At 39.4% G+C, this 25,269-nt stretch overlaps 1 protein-coding gene across 39 annotated transcripts in view; it reads right to left on the bottom strand.

The window, feature by feature from the left end:
* The window catches only part of KANK1 (KN motif and ankyrin repeat domains 1), a 275,809-nt gene that overhangs the window by 135,370 nt on the left and 115,170 nt on the right, over positions 1–25,269 (bottom strand). For 2 of the 39 annotated variants that reach the window (XM_024447463.2, XM_047423056.1), the window contains exon 3: positions 16,654–17,125. The exons of the other annotated variants lie outside the window; for them this stretch is intronic. The gene's annotated coding sequence lies outside the window, so the exon portion shown is untranslated. The remainder of the gene's footprint in view (positions 1–16,653; positions 17,126–25,269) is intronic. 39 annotated transcript variants of the gene reach the window in all.

Genomic DNA, 25,269 nt, shown 5'->3' with positions numbered 1-25,269 from the left:
TTTCCAAGGCTAGCTATGCCTCCAGTTCCTGGAATGTACAATTCTTCTCTTATCTACAAGGATTCTTCAATGGCCCTTAAACCCAGGAAAGCTGGAAACTGCAGGTTGTAGCCATGTCTTGATCAGAGTCAAGGGGGCATGGACATCATTTAACATTACCTGACGCAGCAGAGGGTACTCGGTCAAACCAGCTGCTATATTAAACCAACACTGGACACCTCTATGGCTTATCCACAGAGGGAACTGTCAGGATTCTATTTCTTAAATCATGTATCTAAACCAGTACTTTATTTTTTCACCCATATAGTACACCATTATCACTTCCATATCACTCAATTCTTCAGGACTATCTTTTCTCATTATATATAACATTTGCTTAAGGTCTCATCATGGTTCACTTTGGAGAGCAGGACTGAAGTTCAGTGAGAATGTTTTTTCATCTTATATACTTCTAATATTCTAATTTATTAGGATAATTGTGTTACTTTTGTAAAGAGTTTTTGATAAACGTAAGTGTTCAACCAAATTAAAATGTATTCATACCTTTAATCTAGTTATTCCTGTGAACTTATCGCAAGGAAGTAACTTATTATGGCCTGAAGATTTCACTGCAATGATACTTAAAGTAGCAAAGAATTAGACACGATCTAAATTTTAAACATGAGAAAGTCAGTTTTATAAATTATTGTACATTAATGTAACAGTATTTATCATTATAATTGTAAAGGCTTCATAAATGAGTGGAAAGTCCTGACACCTCAAGTAAAACAAGCATTCCAAATAAAAATCAAACCACATAAATATATGTATAAGAAAGATAAAAACATTTCTATGTGAGAGTGGTACAATTCTACGTAATTTGAAATTTTAAAAATTTTCTTTAGTGAATAAATATAAAATACTTACTAGAAAGTAGCCTGAGAAAAAATAATTTTGCCATAGTTCCAAACTATGATATTAACCAAATTAAGATACTTCTCCTTTATTTAGAATTAACTTTAAAGGGAATAAAAGAAGTACCAATAGATTAAAAGGCAAAATATGTTAGCAGGATCAATGTCTATTGAGTCTATTCATTATTTTATTTTATTTATTTATTTTTTGGGACAGCGTCTCACTCTTGTCACCCAGGCTGGAGTACAGTGGAGCGATCTCAGCTCATTGCAACCTCCACCTCCTGGGGTTCAAATGATTCTCCTGTCTCAGCCCTTTGAGTAGCCGGGACTAAGGGTGCACGCCACCACACCCAGCTAATTTTTTGTATTTTTAGTAGAGATGGGGTTTCACCATGTTGGCCAGGCTGGTTTTGAACTCCTGACCTCAGGTGATCCGCCCTCCTCGGCCTCCCAAAGTGCTGGGATTACAGGCGTGAGCCACGATGCCCAGCCTATTGATTCTATTTAAAAAGGACTTGTAGCTAGCAATAAAGTTTAAGGAATTCCCAAAGAACTGTTAAGCAAATCTATTTAATTTACAAACAATAAACTTATAAAATGTTTTCTAAATTAAAATAATATAGTGGCATTATAAAAACACCACTGCAATTAGCAGTTTAATAATGTGGTAAATAATACTAGGTAAAGCCAATTGCTATTTATGGACAATCTTTTTTTTTTTCAGCCAGCTTTCTGAAGGGTTAGGGGTCAAGTCTTCTTCCCTTTGAGTTCTGAGAACATGAAGATTTTCAACGATCTTGCAGGAGTTCAAGTCCCAAAGGGTAACTGAACAAGGAAGGATATCAGCAGTGACCCCGAAAGCTAACAACAAGCGTGAGTATACGCCCATGTGTTATTTCCCATGCTTCCATCCAAGAAAATGCTCTATTGAAGCAATGTGTATGAATGCATCTATTATGCATGTCACCATGGCCTTATCCCACTCAGTCTCAACATTGGCTTAGTTCACCTCCCTTGGAAACACTCTGGACCATCAACTGGGGTGGAGGTTGTTAAGTAACTCTGTGAGTTGCCTTCATCTAGGTAGCTCTTCAGGTGTGGTTCGTCAGCCACACCCTAATAACTGACAACCTTTGTGAACAATTTTTCAATTCTGTTTATCTCCCTGACTTGATGAAAGACAGACTGACCAAATCAGTCAGTCGTGATGATGTCCTGATGATGGCATTCCTCCCGAAGTGACTAGAGAGAGAGCCCACTCTTGTAAACTTCAACTACCTTGACAGTTCCCACATGTAAATGCCCTAAAGTCAATCATCTTCATCTCACATGCTCTGAAACAATGATCTTTTCTTATAGGTAACATTGGCCAACATTAGATATAAAGAATTTTTAAAAAATGATTTCTTTTAGCTCTTTAAGAGAATACACAAATATTGATAAAGGAGAGTTGGTCTATGGTCACGTAGAATGTGCTATACAACAAATGAAACTTATTGTTATAATTCTGAAAGTTTTCACGCCTGTAATCCCAGCACTTTGGGAGGCCGAGGCGGGTGGATCATGAGGTCAGGAGATCGAGACCATCCTGGCTAACAAGGTGAAACCCCGTCTCTACTAAAAATACAAAAAATTAGCCGGGCGCGGTGGCGGGCGCCTGTAGTCCCAGCTACTCGGGAGGCTGAGGCAGGAGAATGGCGTGAACCCGGGAAGCGGAGCTTGCAGTGAGCCGAGATTGCGCCACTGCAGTCCGCAGTCCGGCCTGGGCGACAGAGCGAGACTCCGTCTCAAAAAAAAAAAAAATAATAATAATAATAATAATAATTCTGAAAGTTTTTTAGTCTTTCCTTCAAAGATTCCATGGTACTAGATAAATTATACACATACACACACACAGAGAGATGTTCACAAGGAAAAATGAACATTACAATACAACCAGGTAAAGGTACCAAGAACATGAAAGGAGGTTGCTAAGGTGCTTCCAAAAGATTGGCCTAATTTTACCACCACATCCATTTCGGCGCTTTTTTTCTTTGCCTAAAATCGTTACCACACCATATTATTTCCTCCCAGCATAGTAAGTTAGGAGAACAAGGAAATGGGAAGAAACTACAGAGGTTCTTACAGCCCTGCCAGCAAAGTTTCCTAGCACTCTGCTGCTGGGCTGGGTGAAGAGAACAAGGCTAGCCGTCCTGGACTGGGTGAGGCACATGTGCAGGTATGTGCAGCTAGTCCTGGACTTGGGCAGGAGCAGGAATCTGCACAAGAACCAACAAGCCCACAGGAGAGGTACTCAACTGAAACAGTGTTTAACAAGCATAGCCATCTCCTTTTTTTTTTTTTTTTTTTTTTTGAGATGGAGTCTTGCTGTAACGCCCAGGCTGGAGTGCAATGGCACGATCTTGGCTCACTGCAACCTCTGCTTCCCGGATTCAAGCGATTCTCCTGCCTCACCGTCCCAAATAGCTGGGACTACAGGTGTGCGTCGCCACACCAGCTAATTTTTGTATTTATAGTAGAGACGGGTTCTCACCATATTGGCCAGGCTGGTCTTGAACTTCTGACCTCAAGTGATCCACCCGCCTTGGCCTCCCAAAATGCTGGGATTACAGGCATAAGTCACTGCCCCTTGCTAACCATCTGCTTTCAAGTGGATTTTGATATGCCAAAGTTTACCTTAGTGCCACTCTGAATGACCTAACAAGCATGCAAAGGAATTGAGGAAGGTGAAAGAGAGTGACACTGTATTAATTACTAGTCTAAGACCCTGTTTTAAAGAATAACCCAAGAAAACATAAAATTAGAATTCAAGTCCCAGTCCCACAGTTTTCCGTGGGCATAAAATACTTAAAAAAATAAAAATGTGAACGGGCAACTACACTTCACTAGTTTCCTCTTAGTTTTTAAGCCAACTCAGTAGCCTGCCTTATCTCATTCTAAACCTTCTGAGAGCAGGGACTTTGTTTTTCCTTTCTGCTATTTCCACAGTAGTAAGAACAGTACCTGGCATATGGCAGGTCCATATATATTTGATGAGAGGATGAAAACATTTCAAGAGCTTACTGGTTTCAGTCCTCTCCACAAACAGATAAAAATTCTACTTTTTAAAAAGCTTTAATCTTCCTTTGTAGCTGCAACTGTCATAAGAAAGCACTGACATACTGCATCTTTTATTTTCTAAACATATATATATATGTAATATATATAAATATATAAATATATACACACACACACACACATATTTTATAGGTTTATAAAACACACACATATATTTTTTTTCTGAGACAGAGTTTTGCTGTTGTTGCCCAGACTGGAGTACAATGGCGGGATCTCAGCTCACTGCAACCTCCACCTCCTGGGTTCAAGTGATTCTCCTGTCTCAACCTCCTGAGTAGCTGAGATTACAGGCATGCACCACCACACCCGGCTAATTTTGTATTTTTAGTAGAGACGGGGTTTCACCATGTTAGTCAGGCTAGTCTCGAATTCCTGACCTCAGGTGATTTGCCCACCTCGGCCTCCCAAAGTGCTGGGATTTCAGGTGTGAGCCACCGCCCCCACCACCCCCAGCCCTTCTAAAAATATATATTTTTAAAATTTTACATATTATATAAAAATTCTATTATATATGTATGTACGTATATATGTGTGAGTGGTGTGTGTGTGTGTGTGTGTGTGTGTGTGTGTGTGTGTGTAGGAATATGTGTAATTCAATGCTATATACTGGGGGAAAGTTCTATGGTTTTTCTTCCCCTATAATTTTTCAGAAGGGAAGACATGATCATCTTAATTTGATAAAACTGACTGAATAGTAAAACCCAGAACCAGAATTTAGGGTGTGGCATAGCTTGTTTAATCACCACCTATTCTAATGGGAAGGGAGTCAGAACACAGGGCCCCCTGACAACACAGACCCGGCCTTCCCCTCAAATGCCATCTGGTGTATGGGCCAGTTAGTCCCATTACCATTTCTCTCTCCCATCTTGATCACTGCTCAACCCATAATAAAATCTGGGCACAGTGGCTCTCTGTTCATTTCCCCATAATCCAAAGCACTGAGGGAGAGCGGGCCACTGGGTGGTCTCCATCTCTATCCCCCTTCTTTCCCCTCCTCAACATCCCCAGCCTGATCATGCTTATTCTCTTTTAAAACCCAGAATTTTGCTATGGCATGGCACTCACAGCCATTCATCATTTGGGTCTCTTGCTACCTCTCCACCTGTACAGAAGAGATTACAGGAAACAATATTACACAGCTGCCTCATGTTTAACGCTCTCTTACCCCTCTACACCTTTGCCCAGGCTGATCATTCTGTCTACAGCAGGAGGACTTCACTGGTTTTTCCTCCCACGTGCTCTTAAAGACTGAGTGTACGCACTTTCTCCTCCAGGAAGCCCTTCCTGATGCTCTCTGCCTGTTTTAGATGCCCCTTCATCTGAATTCAGAGCTTAACATATGGCTAAGCAAATGCTTTACTATCTGAGAGTGATTATCTTTCCTCATGGCTAGTATTAGATTTTTTTTTTTTTTTTTTTTGAGACGGAGTCTCACTTTGTTGCCCAGGCTGGAGTGCAGTGGTTCAATCTGGGCTCACTGCAACCTCTGCCTCCCACGTTCAAGTGATTCTCCTGCCTCAGTCTCCTAAGTAGCTGGGATTACAGGCGCGTACCACCACACCCAGCTAATTTTTCTATTTTTAGTAGAGACAGGTTTCATCATGTTGGTCAGGCTGGTCTCAAACTCCTGACCATGTGATCTGCCTGCCTCGGCCTCCCAAAGAGCTGGGATTACAGGCGTGAGCCACCACTCTCAGCAGGAGGTTTCTATTAAAAACAAATGAGATGGTATTTGCAAACTGTCAGACATTGCCCAATTGCATTAGTCCATTTTCACACTGCTATAAAGAACTACCTGAGACTGAGCAATTTATGAAGAAAAAAGGTTTAATTGACTCACAGTTCTGCATGGCTGGGGAAGCCTTAGGAAACTTACTATTATCATTATTTTTTGAGAGAGTCTCACTCTGTTACACAGGCTGAAGTGCAGTGGCACAATCTTGGCTCACTGTAACCTCCATCTGTCAGGTTCAATCGATTCTCCTGCCTCAGCTTCCCGAACAGCTGAGATTACAGGTGTGCGCCACCCGCCCGGCTAATTTTTGTTTTTTCAGTAGAGACAGGTTTCGCCATGTTGGCCAGACTGGTCTTGAACTCCTGACCTCAAGTGATCTGCCCGCGTTGGTCTCTCAAAGTGCTGGGATTACAGGTGTGAGCCACTGCACCCGGCCAGGAAACTTATAATCACGGTGGAAGGCCAAGGGGAGGCAAGGACCTCTTCTTCACATGACAGCAGGAGAGACAGAGAGAGACATGGGTGCAAGGGTGAAACTGCCAAACACTTTTAAACCATTAGATCTCATGAGAACTCCCTCGCTATCAGGAGGACAGCATGGGGTAAACCATCCTCATGATCCAATCACCTCCCATCAGGTCCCTCCCTCAACACGTGGGGATTACAATTTGAGATGAGATTTGGGTAGGGACACACAGCCAAACCACATCACCAGTACAATGTCTGACACATAGTGCTCATTCAATAAATGGTCATTATTAGAATCATCATTATTGTTTACCACGTCTCCAGGAAAGAGACAAATTTAAGGACCAGAATAATCAGAACAATAACGTATTTGGTACTTTGAATATCAGCTGTAACATTAATCTTAGACACTAATTTATTATGAACTGGTACCCCAACTTTTTGCTGAAATCACTGACACTCCATTCTCCTCCCCAAACATAAAGTGAATGAAAAAACAAAGACAAAGAAACCAAGCATGGTAAGGCCAAAATAATTTTACTTTTTTTTTTTTTTTTTTGAGACAGAGTCTTGCTCTGTCACCCAAGCTGGAATACAGTGACGTGATCTTGGCTCACTGCAACCTCTGCCTCCCGGGTTCAAGTGATTCTCCTGCCTCAGCCTCCAGAGTAGCTGGGACTATGGCGCACACCACCACACCCAGCTAATTTTTGTATTTTTAGTAGAGACGGGGTGGGTTTCGCCACATTGGCCAGACTGGTCTCGGACTCCAGACCTCAGGTGATCCGCCCGCCTCGACCTCCCAAAGTCCTGGGATTACAGGTGTAAAGCCACCATGCCTGGCCTACATTTTTTAGAAGAGAAAAATTCAAACGAGTATATTAATTAATGATAGAATCTAAGTAAAATATTTTGCTGTTCTAGAACTAGGGAAAGGTAAGGAAAAAGATGATTTTAGAGTTAAGGAACTGTTAAGAGTAAGAATTACTGAATGTCAATGTGATGTCTCTCTGCATAACTAGGTCTAAAGGCACCAAGAATATGACTTACATTACTAACCTTTACATTAGATGGAAGACACACAAACTGCTCTTAGTGAATTCTTCTGGCTGAGTTATCATACTATGATTAGCTATCAAAGCTACTTCAAGTTCTTATTGCTGCAAAGATAATTTACACATTCAGGGTCAAAGTCAGCCAGCCACGTTTCTGAACTGAAAACAATTCAATACTAGGCTTTATCTGCCAGTTGAGATTTGTGCCACACTCTGACACATTTAACATCATCTCCAAATTAATGTGCCCCAGGGATGGGATGAGTAGGGAAATTTCTTACACAATGCCACGGTCCAGAGGAAAAACATCCTTGAAAAAGATTCATCTTTCAAATCCTGATATAAATCTACTCTTAGATCTATATTCCAAAAGAGAATAAGAGACTCTTTCCCCATATGTAAGAAACAGGTGGTAAGGCCCACAAATGAGCTCTGAAGTAGAACAAAACGCTAAGGAAGATAATTATCACTGTGGATAAATATGATTTGTAACTATGATAACCCCATCAGCCACACGTGGAATGTGCCTTGACTGCATGTTTGGTTTTCACAGAAATAGCTCTTCAAGAGTTGAGATGTAATAGCAAAAATATGAAAAATTACAAAGGAGTCATGCTGGAATCTCATCTAAACAAGATCTATTTTGCAAGAACTAAAAGCGCAGTCAAAAGAAGTTATACTGAATCATCAAGGAGAACAGGCTTTCAATCTAAAATATTTTGTCAATGTCCTCTGACCGTAAAGACTTCACACATAAAATTATAAGGACAAAAATAACTTATCAAAAGTTTATGCAAAAAGAGTTACTTTATTATAGGATGATGAATCTGTAGTTACACATTGTAAATCCAGGTATTTACCTCTATAACTAACCAAAAGATATTCTCATTAAAATATGGAATGGGGGCCGGGTGCAACAGCTCACACCTATAATCCCAGCACTTTGGGAGGCTGAGGCAGGCGGATCATGAGGTCAAGAGATTGAGACCATCCTGGCCAACATGGTGAAACCACATCTCTACTAAAAATACAAAAATTAGCTGGGCATGGTGGTGCATGCCTGTAGTCCCAGCTACTTGGGAGGCTGAGGCAGGAGAGTCGCTTGAACCCAGGAGCGGGAGGTTGCAGTGAGCCAAGACCACACCACTGCACACCAGCCTGGCAACAGAGCGAGACTCCGTCTCAAAAAATAAAATAAAATAAAATAAATAAAAATGGAATGGGCTAAAAATGAGAGTCAGAAACTCAGGAATAGTTATTGAAGGAATGTCAAAAATGTCTGGATGCTAATGCTATCCTATCAATGTAAAAGTATTTTTCCACAAAAAGTTAATCTATTCCATTGATAAAGAACCTATTTTTCTACAGGGTATGTGCATTGATTTTAACAACTCAACATTAAGTGATCAAAATGACTTTACATCAAAGTGACTGACTACCTAGAAGTGTTAAAAACGAGTTTCAGACCTGGTACAACCATGTTCACAGGAAAGAGCTCACCATAAAACTCATGGAAGACAAAAAGCCACCCCAGTTGCAATGTGCACGTCTGGTACTCAGATATTGGTTTCTAAACACCATTGTCCAGTAAAAGGACCCAGGCTCCTTAGGGAAGTGACTGATTCCAAAAGTAGGGCAAGGAAAATACAAGATTAGCCTAGAGCATCAGGGGATGCCATAATGTGAGGAAGTACTTGAAAAAAGATGGAAGCATGTCAAAAGGACATCAGAGTCAGCCTGAAGGAGCTCCCAGTGGCCAAAGCTAGAATAATTTGAAGAAGAAAATAATGATGATAATATTGGGTTATAACCCACAGAATGAAGTAACTGTCCATGATGAGTCCACACGAATAGCACTAGCAATAAGGGAAACTGACATCAAGTAACCAGTTATGAGGCAATAAAAAAGATACATCATTGCTTTTGTGGTCTTCTTTCAAAACAAAAAAAAGCATAACTTAAAGGTAAACACTAGGAAACATCAGACAGCCCCAAATCTAGTCATTCCACAAAATAACTAACCAGAAATAACTGACAGGGAATGACAAGGAACTGTCACAAACTGTGGGAGTTTAAAGAGTCAGAACTACTCAATACAATGTGGATCTTGGATTGGATCATGGAACATAAAGAAAGGATAGCGGAAAACTGGATAGAATGCTAGTAAGGTCTGTTGTTTAGCTGGAAGTATTAGACCAATTTAGATTCCCAATTTTGATAATTATATTAACGATAGTTCAATATGGTTATGTAAGATAACAACATTAGGAGAAACTGAGTGAAGGGTATGGGAGCCCCGTACTACCTTTGCAACATTTCTCTAAATCTAACATTATTTCAAAATAAAAAGTTTTTAAAGACTGATGGAAGAGGAAAGCAACTGTGGTTACTCTTACTCCTCACTTCCATCTGGCTTTCTTTTCTTTGGGCATTTTACAAAAGGATCTCCCTCCTTCTGCTTTAGTTAATTATGACAGAGCACAGAAAGGTATGAGACATGAGACTCAGAAAGACAGAACATCACAGTGACCCTCCTGAAAAATGAAGGTGGGCTGCCTTTTGGATAACTAAACTTTTCAGTTATCCCAGAACAAAAAGCTTTAACTTTAGAACATGTTAGCAAATTCCCAAACTCATCTTTCTTGGAAAGTGCAAAAGAAGCGAACACTGGGTATTCACAGAATCTGTCAACAAGTAGAAGATCTTTTGGCATAAAATCCAAAGCTATTTAAAAATGACTGCCAGCAATGGGTGGAGGGATAATGAAAGTTATGTTGGGCATGAGGTGAGGTGTATGGAGGGCAAGTGTGCAAGAAGCCCAAGAAGCATTTATGTGCTACTAGTTGTTTCCTCACCTACTAATATGAAGTTGGATCCACAATGCATTTAAAAATACCTGTTTATATAGCTCATACACATACCTAAAAGGACTTCATTTTATTTATTTATATTCTATTTAGATTATTACGTATGTTACCACATTGTATGGGAATGAAAAGAGTCAGACATACCCTTCTTTTTCTTCTTTCTTTCCAAGCATTTAATTACTCAATGTGATGCTACAATGGAATATTATTCAGCCTTAGAAAGGAATGAAATTTGGACACATGTTACAACATAGATGACCCTTGAGGACATTACACTGGGTAAAATAAGCCAGCCACAAAAAGACAGACAGCGTGTGATTCCACTTATGAGGTACCTAGAATAGTCAAAATTACAGAGACAGAAAGTAGAATGGCTGCCAGGGGAAGAGGGGGGTGGGGAGTTGTTGTATAACAGATATAGCGCTTTTGTTTTGAAAGATGAAAAAGAGTTTTAGAGACTGGTTGCGCAATAATGTGAATGTAAACAACATTACTGAATTGTGCAATTAAAAAAACAGTTAAGATAGTAAATTATGTGTTATGCCTAACACAAAACTTTAAAAAAATTTAAGGTAATTTTTTTTGCCTCAGCAATTCTTATTACCTTAAAGACTTACATGGACATACGTTGATGTGGGTATAAAATTGTTAACTGTTGCATTATTTATACTATAAAACACCAACACCACACTAAATGATCATTAAAATAAAGCCTTAAACAAAGTACAGTCATCCCTCGATATACAAGGAGGACTGGTTCCATGACTGCCTGCAAATACCCAAATCCTCACATACTGAAGTTCTGTAGCCAGCCCTGAAGAACCTGCGTATATGAAAAGTCAATTCTCTCTTTATGCAAGTTTTGCATCCCTCAAGTACTCTATTTTCAATCCATGTTGGGTTGAAAATATCTGCATAAAAGCAGACCTGCACGTGGACCTGCATATAAGTGGACCCATGATGTTCAAGGGTCAGCTACGTAGCATATCAGTATGATGGGTTACTCTGCAGCATTTAAGAGAAATAAGTAAACTAGCAGAGAAAGACACAATCTATAATTATGTAAAATAGTAAGTTAAAATTTAGACAAAGTATATGACTTTATTCACAGTAAGAAAGTATGTTTGTATATAAATGCATGGAAAACATGTAGAAGGATGTATATCAAACTTAACAGAGACCACTCTACAGAATATTTGGAGGAATAGTGGGGTTCTTACCTTGAATTTTAAAATAACCACTAGAGATTATTTTTTAAAAAATAAAAATAATATTTCTTGCCGGGTGTGGTGGCTCACAACTATAATCCCAGCACTTTGGGAGGCTGGGATGGGCAGATCACCTGAGGTCAGGAGTTCAAGACCAGCCTGACCAACATGGAAAAACCCCGTCTCTACTAACAATAAAAAATTAGTCAAGCATGGTGGTGTGTGCCTGTAATCCCAGCTACTCAGGAGGCTGAGGCAGGAGAATTGCTTGACCCTGGGAGGTGGAGGCTGTGGTGAGCCAAGATCGCACCATTGCACTCCAGCCTGGGTGACAAAAGCGAAACTCCGTCTCAAAAAAAAAAAAAAATAATAATAATAAATACAAATCATTCATAAAGTAAATTAAGAAAACAATTATATTTATAATTGCATATAAAGAATAAAATACCTAGGGATGGCCGGGCATGGTGGCTCATGCCCGTAATTCTAGCACTTTGGGAGATGGAGGAGGGCGGATCACCTGAGGTCAGGAGTCCGAGACCAGTCTGGCCAACACGTCAAGACTCTATCTCTATTAAAAATACAAAAAATTAGCTGGGCGTAGTGGTGTGCGCCTGTAATCTCAGCTACTCAGGAGGCTGAGGCATGAGAATCGCTTGAACCCAGGAGGAGGAGGTTGCAGTGAGCCGAGGTCGTGCCACCGCACTCCAGCCTGGGCAACAGAATGAGACTGTCTCAAAAAAAAAAAAAAAAAAAAAAAAAAAAAAGAAAACCAACAAAACAAAACAAAAAAACCTAGGAACAAATTTAACACAGGAGGCAAAAGACTTACACACTGGAAATTACAAGACACTGCTGAAGAATAAGACCTAAATAAATGGAAATACATCCTATATTCATGGATTGGAAGTCTTAATATTGTTAAGATGACAATATTACTCCAAATAATCTGCAGATTCAATGTACTCCTTATCAAAACTCCAACAGCCCTTTTTGCAGAAATGAAAAAACAGATCCTTAAATTCGTATGAAGCTGAAAGGGATCCAAATAGCCAAAACAACACTAAAAAAAAGAAAAAAGTTGAAGAACTCTCACTTCTCAATTTCAAAACTTACTACAAAGCTACAGTAATCAAAAACGGTGTAGTACTAGTATAGGGATAAATATATGGACCAATAGAAAAAAGAGTCCAGAAATAAAATCTCACATATATGGCCAATAGATTTTTAACAAGGGTACAAAGACCATTCAAATGGGGAAATACTGTCTCTTCAGCAAGTGGTGCTGGGAAAACTAGATATCTACATACAAAAGAATAAAGTTGGGCCCCTACCCCATACCATATGAAAAATTAACTCAAAATGAATTAACAACCTAAGTATAAAAAATAAAAGCATAACTTCTTAGAAGAAAACATAGGGAGGCCAGGGGTGGTGGCTCACACCTGTAATCCCAGCATTTTGGGAGGCTGAGGCGGGTGGATCACCTGAGGTCAAGAGTTCAAGATAGCCTGGCCAACACGGTGAAACCCCATCTCTACTAAAAATACAAAAAAATTAGCCAGGCGTGGTGATGCATGCCTGTAATCCCAGCTACCCAGGAGGCTGAGGCAGGAGAATCACTTGAACCCAGGAGACAGAGGTTGCAGTGAGCCAAGATCTTGCCACTGTACTCCAGCCTGGGCAACAGAGCAAGACTCTGTCTAAAAAAAAATAAATAAAAATTAAAAAAAAAGAAAACCTTAAAAATGAGAAAAACTATGTGCAAATCACATATCTATTAAGGGTCTAGTATCCAGAATATATAAAGCACTCTTACAAGTCAACAACAAATAACAATTTTTAAATGGGCAAAGGACTTCAACAGACATGTCTCCAAAGAAGATATACAAATGGCCAATGTGTACATGGAAAGATAAATACCATTAATCATTAGGAAAATATAAATCAAAACCATAATAAAATACTACTTTATACCCACAAGGACGACTATAATTTTTTTAAAAAGGGAAAATAAATGTTTGCAAGGATATGGAAAAATTGGAACCTTGTACATTGTTGGTGGGACTAGAAATGGTTTGGCCCTGTGGAAAACAGTTTTGCAAAAAGGTTACACAGACTTGCCATATAACCCAGCAATTACACCTCTAAGTATGAACCTAAAAGAACTGAAAACAGGGACTCAAGTACTTACACACCCATGTTCATAGCAGCCTTATTCATAAGAATTAAAAGGTGGGGAAAAAATCAAAAATCTATCAACAGATGAATGGATAAACAAATTATGATATATCCGTACCATGGACTATTCAGCCATAAAATGGCTAAGACATTACAACATGGATGAATATACTAAGTGAAAGAAGCCAGACACAAAAGGTCACATATTGTATGAGAACATTTATTTTACATGTGGTATCTAGAATTGTAAATTCATAGAGACTGAAAGCAGATTAATGATTGTCAGGGATGAGAGAGAGGAGAGAATAGTGTGTTACTGATTACTGGGTACGGGGTTTTCTTTTGTAGTGACAAAAATGTTTTGGAACTAGAGAGAGGTGGCAGCTACACAATATTATGAATGTACTAAATACATCTGAATTGTCAATTATTAAACTGCCTATTGTTATATTATGTGAATTTCATCTCATTAAAAATAAATAAAAGTTAAAAAAAATGTATAGGGAAGACCAAAACACCAATGGGGAACTGGTAAAGTAATGATGGTGGACTTCATTACTTTACCATGACATAACGAGACAGTGGTACCAGTGTAAACGGGCATCTTCTGAATCCCGTTGCCTCTCTGTGAAACACTCTAAGAGCTATTGCCAGGGGAAAAGGAAACCTACTCAAAACCAGGGGTGGTAAATAATCACTGGCTCCGTGACAGCAAAATGATCCATTGCCAGAAACAAAAGCCTAGTTCAGCTTAGCATAGGGGCTCAGAGGACAGCCAGCCTTGGTTGCCTTTAGTCTTTTCTCTACCCGAACTTAACCTACAGTGATGTACATTAAAAGAAGTTCTACACCCTCCCTTACAGGTGAGGAAACTAAACCATGGCTGCTTCTAGAGCCCATACACAGGGATGTGGGTAGGAACTCAAAAAATATTTACTAATTTGGCATACAAGTTGAACGTCCTTAATCCAAAAATCTGAAATAGAAATGCTCCAAAATCCAACACTTTTTGAATGCTGACATGACACCAAAAGTGGAAATTTCACACCTGACCTCATGTGACAGGTTACAGCCAAAATGCGGTCAAAACTTTATTTCATGCACAAAATTATTAAAAATATTGTATAAAGTTACCTTCAGTCTTTGTATATAAGGTGTATATGAAACATAAACGAACTTGTTATTTAGACTTGTGTCTCATCCCCAAGGAATTTCATTATGTATATGCAAATATTCCCAAATTCAAAAAAGTCCAAAGTCCGAAATACTTCTAGTCCCAAGCGTTTGGGATAGGGGATGCTCAAACTGTAAAAGCTATTTGTTATCATTTGTCAAACTGTGGAAATTAATAATTCTTCTATCTATCATCATAAATCTTCTCATGAGGCTGGGCACAGTGGCTCATGCCTATAATCCCAGCACTTTGGGAGGTCCATGCAGGAGGATCACCTGAGTCCAGGAGTTTGAGACCAACCTGGGCAACAAAGCAAGACTTCACCTCTACAAAAAATAAATTAGCCAGATGTGGTGGTGCATTCCTGCAGTCCCAGCTACTCAGGAGACTGAGGTGGGAGGACTGCTTGAGCCCAGGAATTTGAGGCTTCAGTAAGCAATGATCACGCCACTGCTCTCTAGCCTGGGCAACAGAGTGAGACACTGTCTCAAACAAAAGAAAAAAGAAAAAAGAAAAAAATTCTTATGTATAACTGTCCAAAAGCACACCCTATATCGCAGCAGGCTCATTTTGCAGGCTTTTCCTCGGGTTCTTGTTCTGATTGCAACGCTCAAGTTTGGAGCTGAAGTGCTCCTGCAATGGCATTAGGTCTCCCCTTCAGAGTGCTTTCACAGCAAGAGAAATTCACACCAGAAAGAGCACTTTTCAGCCACTTTCTGGGCCATGTGAATAACTTTCAGTTAACCCTTCTCTCAACAGGTACCAATCACCACATTTTAAAAGTAGAGACAGGGTCTCACCATGTTGCCCCAACTGGTCTTGAACTCCTGGGCTCAAGCAATCTGCTGGCCTTAGCTTCCTGAGTAGCTGGGACTACAGTCATGTGCCACCATGCCGGGCCATCGTTGCATTTTAATTTATATTATTTGTTTTGGCTATTTCAATGTGATTATTAGGACAAAACAAGAAATTTAAATTAAAAGGCAACTTTTCTAAAAATTCTTTTTTTTCTTTTCGAATCTGCGTTCTGAATAAAAATTCTTAAAATCAAACTGTTTCTATAATAAGAAAAGATGACAAAGTATCTACATATCTTTGTTTAATTCCTCTGATTGTAATAAATAAGCCATTATCAATACACAGTGGCTGAATCAAAAGGATTTGTTTTATACATTAAAGGTTGAAAGAGGAGAGACAGGGAATCTGAACTCTCCAGATTTTTATATTTGGTTTTAAAAGCCTTCTCCTCATTTAAAGTGTCATTATTAAAAATTATTAATTTTTTTAAATTCTAGAAACAACTGAAATCACGTTCAATATTTTTGAACCTTCAGACACATCTATAATTGTGGATCAGAGTTTAGGAAATCAAAAAAACACTCAGGGATTCTCCATTTCATTGTATCTTAAGACATTTTACAAAATATAAACAATCTCACACTTATTAACTATTTAAGACTTTAGAGTATTTCTGGCTCACTTTAGTCTCTGGCAGGGCTGGTTCCCATTTTGAAATGAGAACTCTATGTTAAGGTGGAGGATTTAGAGACTTACAAAGTCAAAAAGAAATCATAACTCCTACATTTTTAATCATCCATCCTTCTGGTATATGATTTGTCCCTAATTCTCACCAGAAAATGAAGAAAGTTTTGAAGAACGAGTTATTCTCAATGTAAATCTCCAGCCAGCCTCTGTCAATCATGTTGGCCTTTTCCCCCTAGTTAGCCTTTCTCCACCTCCTGCCTGAAAACTACACTACTATTTAATTGCTTTGTGACTTCACATTTTATTAAAGGCAGAAAAACATAAAGAGCTAAAACAAGGAGATAAGCCTATTGCCATAAATTGTCCCCTTAAGCAATGAAACCTGCCTCTCTAGTATAATAAGGTGGGTACTGTGAAAACCCCCAACAAGTGCACTTCTGCATAAGTCCACAGCCCCCATCACTTACAGCAGACCTTACAGTTCTCTCGAGCGCAGCACCATAGATCAGACCCCAGGGCAGTCAGCTGCATGCTTTCTAAAACCAGTGTGAAGGGCACAGCCCAGGGAGTCACTTTGCTCTCCACCCTCACCTACTCCAAATTTATCTTGTGTTCCCATGGCTGGGGGAGGGAAGCAGAAATAAGAGACAAGGTTACAAAAAATTTTATAAACTGATAGCACCCCACCTGCCATCCCATTCCCTAGAAGTCCAGTTACTTGTCATAACCCAGTGAACACATTTTAGCTAAGTGTTCATTTTCATAAATTTGGAAGAATTCACTTCTGTCCCTTTGGAGTCTCCATTTCTTCCTCTGTCGTGGGATGGAAATCATCATGATCAGATGATACCATGTTTCTGAAGGTGCTCAAGCCCTGGTCCTCTGTAAGATTACATCCAACGATTTACACAAACAAATCAGGTCTTCGTGTTTAAAGCCCTGTGAAAACATCAATGGGTAACTTCTCTAAGTTACTCTGGTTTTTTTGCCACCAGCCAAAAAACAAAGGCTTCAGGTGTTTTTAAATCCCACTGAGGTGTATAACAAAGTTTATGACATTAGTCAAAAAAAAAAATGCAAGTATATGGGGGGGGGGAATGTATAAAGATCTAATATATCCACTAAGCATAAAAAATGTCTGAAAGTATATACAATAAACTCAGCAGTGGTTATATTAGGAATAGGATCAAAAAGTGGGATACAAGAATCCTTTTTTTGTCTGTATGTTTTATTGTTTGAATATGTGAGAATGGGCACATCTGACTTTTGTCATTAATTTTAATTTTCAGAGTTAAAATAAGGAAAAGAATAATAATCCATATTTTCCAAACCAAAAACTGGAACACATGGTCTGCCAAAGGATTTTTATTCCACATCTAGAGATAAGAGGCAGTTAGGAAAGGTAGTCACTGGAATGTTCAAATTTCCAGGTTCCAACAGTTTAAAAAAACTGGCGGCCAGAATTATCTAAAACAAGATTGTCTACTAGCATTAGATATTGAACAAATAGTACAACTCCCTAAGTCAGTCACATGATGTCTTCTTTCTTCTTAGAAGGTAGGCTATGGTGGGTGACGCCAAGATCATCTTTCTTGGTATTGAACCAGCATGCTCATGAGCAATTTGGCTCAAGTCAATGAGCAGTTTCTGCATTTACGTTTTGCACAAAGGACTACCCAAGGAGAGAAAAGCAAACAGAAGAAAGAAAAAACAATATAATAGTGCTTAAGGACTATACTTTGAGTAAGGACTCTCTAATAAACAAGAACTACAAAAATTGCAGGTGGCTATTCATTTGGGAAAGAAATTAATTTTAATTCCTATCTCAAGTCACATTTCAAACTAAGTTTCATACAGATAAAATATTTTAAAATGTGAGATGAAACCATAAAACTACAATAAGGTAAATATAGTTAAATGCCTGTGCAATCTTGTGGTTAGAGATGTAATATTGATTCATTTCTTCTATAAATACTTGCCAGGTCTGACCGGCAGATTCTGGCTGAGCGATGGATGAAAAAACGTACTTAGACACAGGTATCCAGTGAAAGAGCGGACTAGGGGATCGGGGTGCTCACAGAAAGAAAGAGTCATAGCAGCTGTGGCCCTGACAAGCCAGTGCTGCGGGCATTTATTCAGTATGGATGTAATGACAAAGTCTTTGAGTCAACACACTTGTGGGTAATTAACATGGTTCCCCCTCCCCCGGCTTCCCGCTGCTCCCTGGGAAAGAGCAGTCCTGCGCACAGATGATTAAAGGCCAGGTTCTGAGGCCTAAGTAAACTAACTTATCTAGATCAATTCCTTTACATCCCCTTATTATCTAACCTTTGCTCTCAGGCTCCAGGTAAGAGAATTTGGCTGCCTTCAGCCAAACCCTTTTTTGAAGCTTTTGCAAAACCTCTTCCAAGAAGGTTTGCATCTTTTCCTACAATTTCTTCCACCACCCTGACCGATCTCCTACAAATACCACATGTTAAGCACTAGAGACCTCGCTGTGGTCAACACAGACAAGGTCCCTGCCCCTATGGTGTTACAGGCTGGAGGGGGAAACAGGAAAAGAGTAAGTTAATAAGAAATGATAATTGTGGCTGGGCACAGTGGCTCACTCCTGTAATCCCAGCATTTTCAGAGGCTGAGGTGGGTGGATCACCTGAGGTCAGGAGTTTGAGATCAGCCTGGCTAACACGGTGAAACCCCGACTCTACTAAAAATACAAAAATTAGCTGGGCGTCGTAGTGGGCACCTGTAATCCCAGCTACTTGCTAGGCTGAGGCAGGAGAATCACTTGAACCCAGGAGGCAGAGGTTGCAGAGTGAGCCAAGATCGCACCACAGAACTCCAGCCTAGGCGAGACTGCATCTCAAAAATAAATAAATAATTGCATATTGACAAGTGCTCAAAAGAGTGTGTGTGTGTGCGCGTGTGCACACATTTCCCAAGCAAAGAAACTGCACCTGCAGAATTTCAGGGACAGGAAGGAGGTTGGCATATTCCCTGGACTGAGAAGAGACCAGTGGGGCTGGAACATAGTGTTCAAGGGTGAGTGACAAGAGGTGGGGCTTTACAGCAGGAAAAGCAAGATCGTGCCAGGCCCTGCAGGCCATGATAACAAGAATGCCATGACGAGCTCAGGCAGGGGTATGCCAAGATGTGATCACACTTGAAAGAGATTACTCTGCTATGTAAAGAACTGACAATGGGCAACAAATACCAAGGCATTCTTACTTCCTAGTTAGCCTATATGGAAACCATAAAGAAAAAGATTTGACAACCTAAAATTAAATATTTATATACATTTAAAAGCAGTATAAAAATTCAAAGAAATTATCAAAACAACTAACATACTTTTATAATAAAAGACATTTAAAAATTTTAAATCTTTAAAATCTCGTTGCTGCAAGTCAGTAACAAAAATAGCAAATACCCCTCTGGAGAAATGGGCAAAGGATATGAACAGAAAACTCACAAAGGAATATAAATGGCATATGAAAAGATGTTCATCTGTCTATAAAACTGGTAAGGTTTTTTTGTTTGTTTGTTTTAAACTCCACTATCCAATGTTAAGGGTGTGGGAAAAGAGACCTCTCGCATACTGGTGATGGAACTGTAAATCGGTTCAGTCTTCCAGGCAATGTGTATTATATATTAAACCTCTTTCCTAATTTTATAAGAAAATAATTCAGAGCAGCCTCACAAATACAGTTAGAAGAATGTACATTAATGCATATGTCCAAAGTGAGATTTGTTAAAATACATTCCTGAAACAGAGTCTTCATCAACCTTTAATAATTACACAGCAGTGACTACTGATAAGCAGAGAGGTTTATAATTTTCAACTGAGAAAAGCAGGGTGCATTTCTGTATTTAAGAATCTTATTTAGGCATACACACCTAAAAAAAAAAATCTCCGGAAGAATATAAACAGTGGTTATTTAATGGTGGTAAAGTTACATATTTTTAACAGGTCTTTTATTTATCGATACATCTTTCATTTTTCTACAGTCACTACATACTGCATGAAGTCTCTAATAATAATGCATGAAGTCTCTAAGCAAAAATATACATATATATATCTAAAGCACCATAAAATATAACTTGAGACACACTAAACTGTCTGGTAAAGGAGGAAATGGAGAGGAGGCAGCGTAGACTGGAGTTGGATGAGAAAATGGTAATGTTAGAAAGGGACTTTGGGGAGCACCTGCCTAGTCCAACTCCTCATTTCACAGATTAGGAAAGCATCTATCATCTCCTCACTTCACCTCCCTGACTATAATAACAAAGGCTATTAGAACACAAAACAAAACTATTGCTACTCGGTCTTCACTAATTAAAAAACCATGTACCCCCTAAAAAGCAACCATAAATATCATCATGTGGCACTTAACTCCTGAGGAAAAGGTACCTAGACAGGAGCACAGCCCAACAGCTGCTTTGGTATTTGGAAACAAGAGGGTTATTGCAGAGTGCCGTTTTTTTCCTCACTCCTCAAGCAATTAAGAAATGTTTCCATCCTAATACTGCTCCTGTGCCTGTCTAGCACTGAGCTCACAAAGAAACATCCTCAGATAGTTACATCATCTGGCAAGGAAATCCTCAGCATGCCTAAGGGGTTCACAGAATCTGTCGACTTGGAGCCCAGACGTTTTTATCTGGGTCCTTCCTGCATCCTGCAGAGGTCTCTGGCAGGCATTTCTAATTCCTTGGCCCATTTCCCACACAGATACTCTAAATGGTTTCCCTTTCTCAAATCTAAAACCCCAAACCTACCACTTTTACTCTCCAGAAATAAATACTTCCTTCTTTCTTCATTCAGGCCACAATCCTTCAGCCCTCTTAATGTTCCTTTCTATTTCAAATCACCTGTGTCTACTTGCTCCATCTCCTCCCTCCTTCCTGGCTCAGGGGACGCATTCCTTCAGTCTCAAAGATGAAGCCCTCCACCCTGATCTATTCAGCCAGCCCTGTAGTCACGGAAGTCCTGGCCCCCTGTTTTTCCCTTTCTTTATGACTCCTTCCCCACCTCTCTCCCCGCTGGGTACCTCCCTCTCTTTTAGTATATCTAAGTTTCCTTACCCCAACTCTGCTCCCTCCTCCCAGTGGCATCCTCTTTTGCTCCTTCTTTTCCAGCAAATCTCCAGACCTGGGCATCTACACCTGCACCTCCTTAGCTTATCATGATGTTATGAAGCATCAAGAGTAAGTATTTACAGTCAGAAGGCCCAGAGTACACATTCAGCTCTGCCACTGACCATTTCCACAACCATCAGTGAGCAAGCCACTTAATCCTCCAAGTCAATTTCCTCCTCTGTAAGATGAGATTAATAATACCCGCTCCATCTCCTTCACAGCTGTGTTGTGAGGATCGAATGAGATAATGTGTGTGGAAGTGCACTGGCAGCTTAATATAAAGCACTTTAACATTCTAGTTATTCCTGTTATTACTCTATCCCTGACCTCTCAGCATCAACTGAGTCACGGAAGGTAATTTGTGATCTTCAGGTTGGTCACAGTGTTAACACTAACAATGCTTCAAGGTCAGCACTTTAGTTTCTACTGTGATTTACTGATTTGGTAATAATTACAATTCAAAAACAAGTATAACCTTGGGTTTTTTTAATCATATAAGCAGGGACTTCTGGAAGACAATACTAGTAGGCCAACAATTACTGAACACATACCAAAAGTCAGGCACTGTTCTAAAGTACTTTACCAGAGGGCTTTTATTACTATTTTCATTTTACTTACGGGGAAATTGAGGCACAGCACAGTCATGATTTGAACCCAGGCATCTAACTCTACAGTCCGTGCCCTATCCGATTCTGTTAGTGGCAAAGTGGGTGCTAGATAGAAATAAACCAGTAAGGAGATCATGACTACTACAGCATTAGAGGCAAGAGATAATATGGACTTAAAAAGGAATACCTAGAATGTTTTTTAAAAACAAACACTTTTTTTTTTCAAATTGCTAACTACCAATGTTGCTGAGAGCTGAAAGTTACCAGGTACTTCAATATACTGCTACTGAGATTATAAACTGGTGTGGCCTTTCGAGAAAACAGTACATCAACAGAGTAAATTAACAGAATACATCAACACCTGAGTGCTACATTCTATCATTGTTCAGCAATGCCACTTCTGGCAATTTATCCTAAGGAAATAATCATAGATGTGCATGACAGATGTTCACTGCAATGTTATTTCTAAAAGTAAATAACAAGAAACAATATAAATGTCTAATAAAAGGAGATGGGATAGAGAAACCATTACATTTCCATATAACTGAATACTATGCTGTCATTTAAAATGATGCTGTAGAAAAAAGAAATAAGCATTTTATTAAGGAAAAGAAGTATGTAAAAAAGCCCACTGATATGGGCTTTGGTATCTCACTGGTTTAAGTTCTGAACCAGTGTGGGTTTACCAGCTATGTGAACATGGGCAAGTCATTTCTTTCTTTCTTTCTTTTTTTTTTTCTTGAGACCAAGTCTAGCTCTGTCACCCAGGCTAGAGTGCAATGGTGCAATCTCAGCACAATGCAACCTCTGCCTCCCAGGTTCAAGCAATTCTCCTGCCTCAGCCTCTCTAGTAGCTGGGATTACAGGCATGTGCCACCACGCCCAGCTAATTTTTGTATTTTTATTAGAGACGGGGTTTCGCCATGTTGGCCAGGCTGGTCTCAAACTTCTGACCTCAAGTGATCTGCCTGCCTTGGCCTCCTAAAGTGCTGGCATTACAGGAGTGAGCCACTGTGCCTGGCTAATTTCTCTGAGCTTCAATTGTCCTGTGTGTAAATGAGGATAATAAAAGTACCAAGGGTTATGAGAATAAATTAATATATATAAAATGCTTGGTATTTAGCTTGGCACAGCACAAGCATGTAATAAATGTTACTCAAGTTGCAAAAATAGAGAAAGCTAACACAACAACACATGCACATATTCTAAAAACTTGGAAAATAATATAGTACAATTTTAACATTGATTATCTCTAGAAACAGAGTAACAGATTTTGATTTAAACTCTCTATTTTCTAGGTTTATTGAATAAAGCCTGCAATAAATTGAGTATCTCCATTTTTTTCAGTCTTAATACTCCTTTTGATGTATCAAGTTTCCCTAGTATTATCTAGTCTGTGCATATTGTGTTTATGAAAATGGGGTATTTATTGACTTAATCTGCAGAGTAATACAATTCACTTTTATTCTTCAGAGTAAAACAGCTTGCTCATATTTCATCCTATAAAAGTCTTTTCTCAATCATACATTTGTAGATCAAGAGCAGTCTGAACAGATCATTGGAGCATAAAAGACTAGGGAACAGATTCGTACCTCTAAAAAGCAAAGTTAAAGGAAACAAACATGACAACTTCATGATAGTTATAAAGAAAAAAACGATATGTTATCTTAATTATGTAAGGCCAGAAATTACTGCAATAAATATTTCAACTCCGTGGACAATTTCCTAGTGTGATCAAAAGATGAAAGTAATTCACTAGTTCAGAAGTCCATCCAGTATAGTGACCATCATTCTGAAAGGAAAAAGAAATGTTTTTGAGGGAAATGTAATGGAACAATACTCATTTTTAGGCTTGAGATCTGCAGGAGAGGGGAATCAATACTAGAGACTGCTACGCATTTTGGAAATCAAAGTACAGTTAAGCCACTTTCCTGCTGGGGGTGCAGGGGCAGGCCAGAATAAAAGGGAGCCTAAGATATCATGCAAAGAGTCCCTTTTGCTTTAGGTAAAGGCTAGCTATTTGCTCTCGTGACTCTCCACCACTGCAAAGAAAAGCGCTGGATCCCTCATAGCTTTCCACCTTCTGTTCTGTTCTCCTCCTCCGTGTGTTTGGTAGTACAAACATAATTCAGCACATGCATACCACTCTATTTTTATGTATTTTTTAATGTCTATCATACTTACTCAGACCACTCCATAACACACACATGGCTTTTCTCCTAAAACTGTTAATGGCAGTTCCCTGGGACTAAAACCTCGGAACTGTTTTCAAGTCATCTCTCTCGTCATTACCTTCCACTAACAGTCACCACCACTTTCCCCGAATGTCCAGCTGCTCTCTACCCCTTCTTTTTCACTCCTATCACACTGCTGAACCCAACTTCCTTGGCATACCTCATCTGTTTATAACAAGAGCCTCTAACTTGGACCCTCTGCAGATCACAGCCTATCCACTCTCTCTTACAGAGAAATTGCTTTCATCCTATTCCTGTAACCTTGAATAGGCCTGGGCCCATCCCCTTGACTGTAAAATGAAGAACTGGTCTCAACATTCTCCATCCTCACTGTGCTTTGAAGTCAGATGTCACTGGGCATGAATCCTGGTCCAGCCACTCTGCCAAACTTAGACAAGTATGTCTGCTCAAAATTCCATCTCACTATGCATAAAATGGGAACTAGTACATCTACTCCAAAGCTTGCTGTAAAATAATAATGACATCTTATGCCTTACAGATCACACAGCAGGTACTCAACAATATTGCTTATTCCCATCCCACCTTACAGAATCCCACAAACTTTGAAGTTCTCTTGTCTTATAACTTCCAAACCTAACGTTTTCTTACATCTACATCCCTAGTGATAATGATTTTCTCTTCCATCACATATAAACTCCCCTGTTGACCTTCAGTTCTTCCATTATCTATCACTACTTTATCTTCCTTTAATTTCCAATAAACGTCTTCTATTCAATCAGATTAGTCTGATCATTTTCCCAAGAACAAACACTTACACCCTGCCTTTGTGCCCATCAGTTCCCCATAGACTTTTCTTACCCCCTCTTTCAAGGCCCAGTTTGAATCCGAAGCCCCAGCAATGCCGACCTCGCAAACAATTTAACCCTCACACAATGCCTTAACATTATTGTCTACTCTTCCATGTTCACCAAGATTAGCTGTCCAGCTGACAAAGACTATTTGGATTATTCTAAGTTAAGCTTTTTACTTCAGTGTGGATTGTATTAGAGTTTTTACAAACTACATATTTTTTGGATCGGTTCTGTCAATGCTTTTTGAAATTCATAGGCCTTTGTGCCTTAAGGTAAGCGTCTTTTATTAATTCCAT

This window comes from Homo sapiens, chromosome 9 (genome assembly GCF_000001405.40).
Source record: "Homo sapiens chromosome 9, GRCh38.p14 Primary Assembly".
Lineage (NCBI taxonomy): Eukaryota > Metazoa > Chordata > Mammalia > Primates > Hominidae > Homo > Homo sapiens.
Note: the sequence above shows the minus strand (reverse complement) of the source record. Positions and strands in the feature narration are given on the sequence as shown.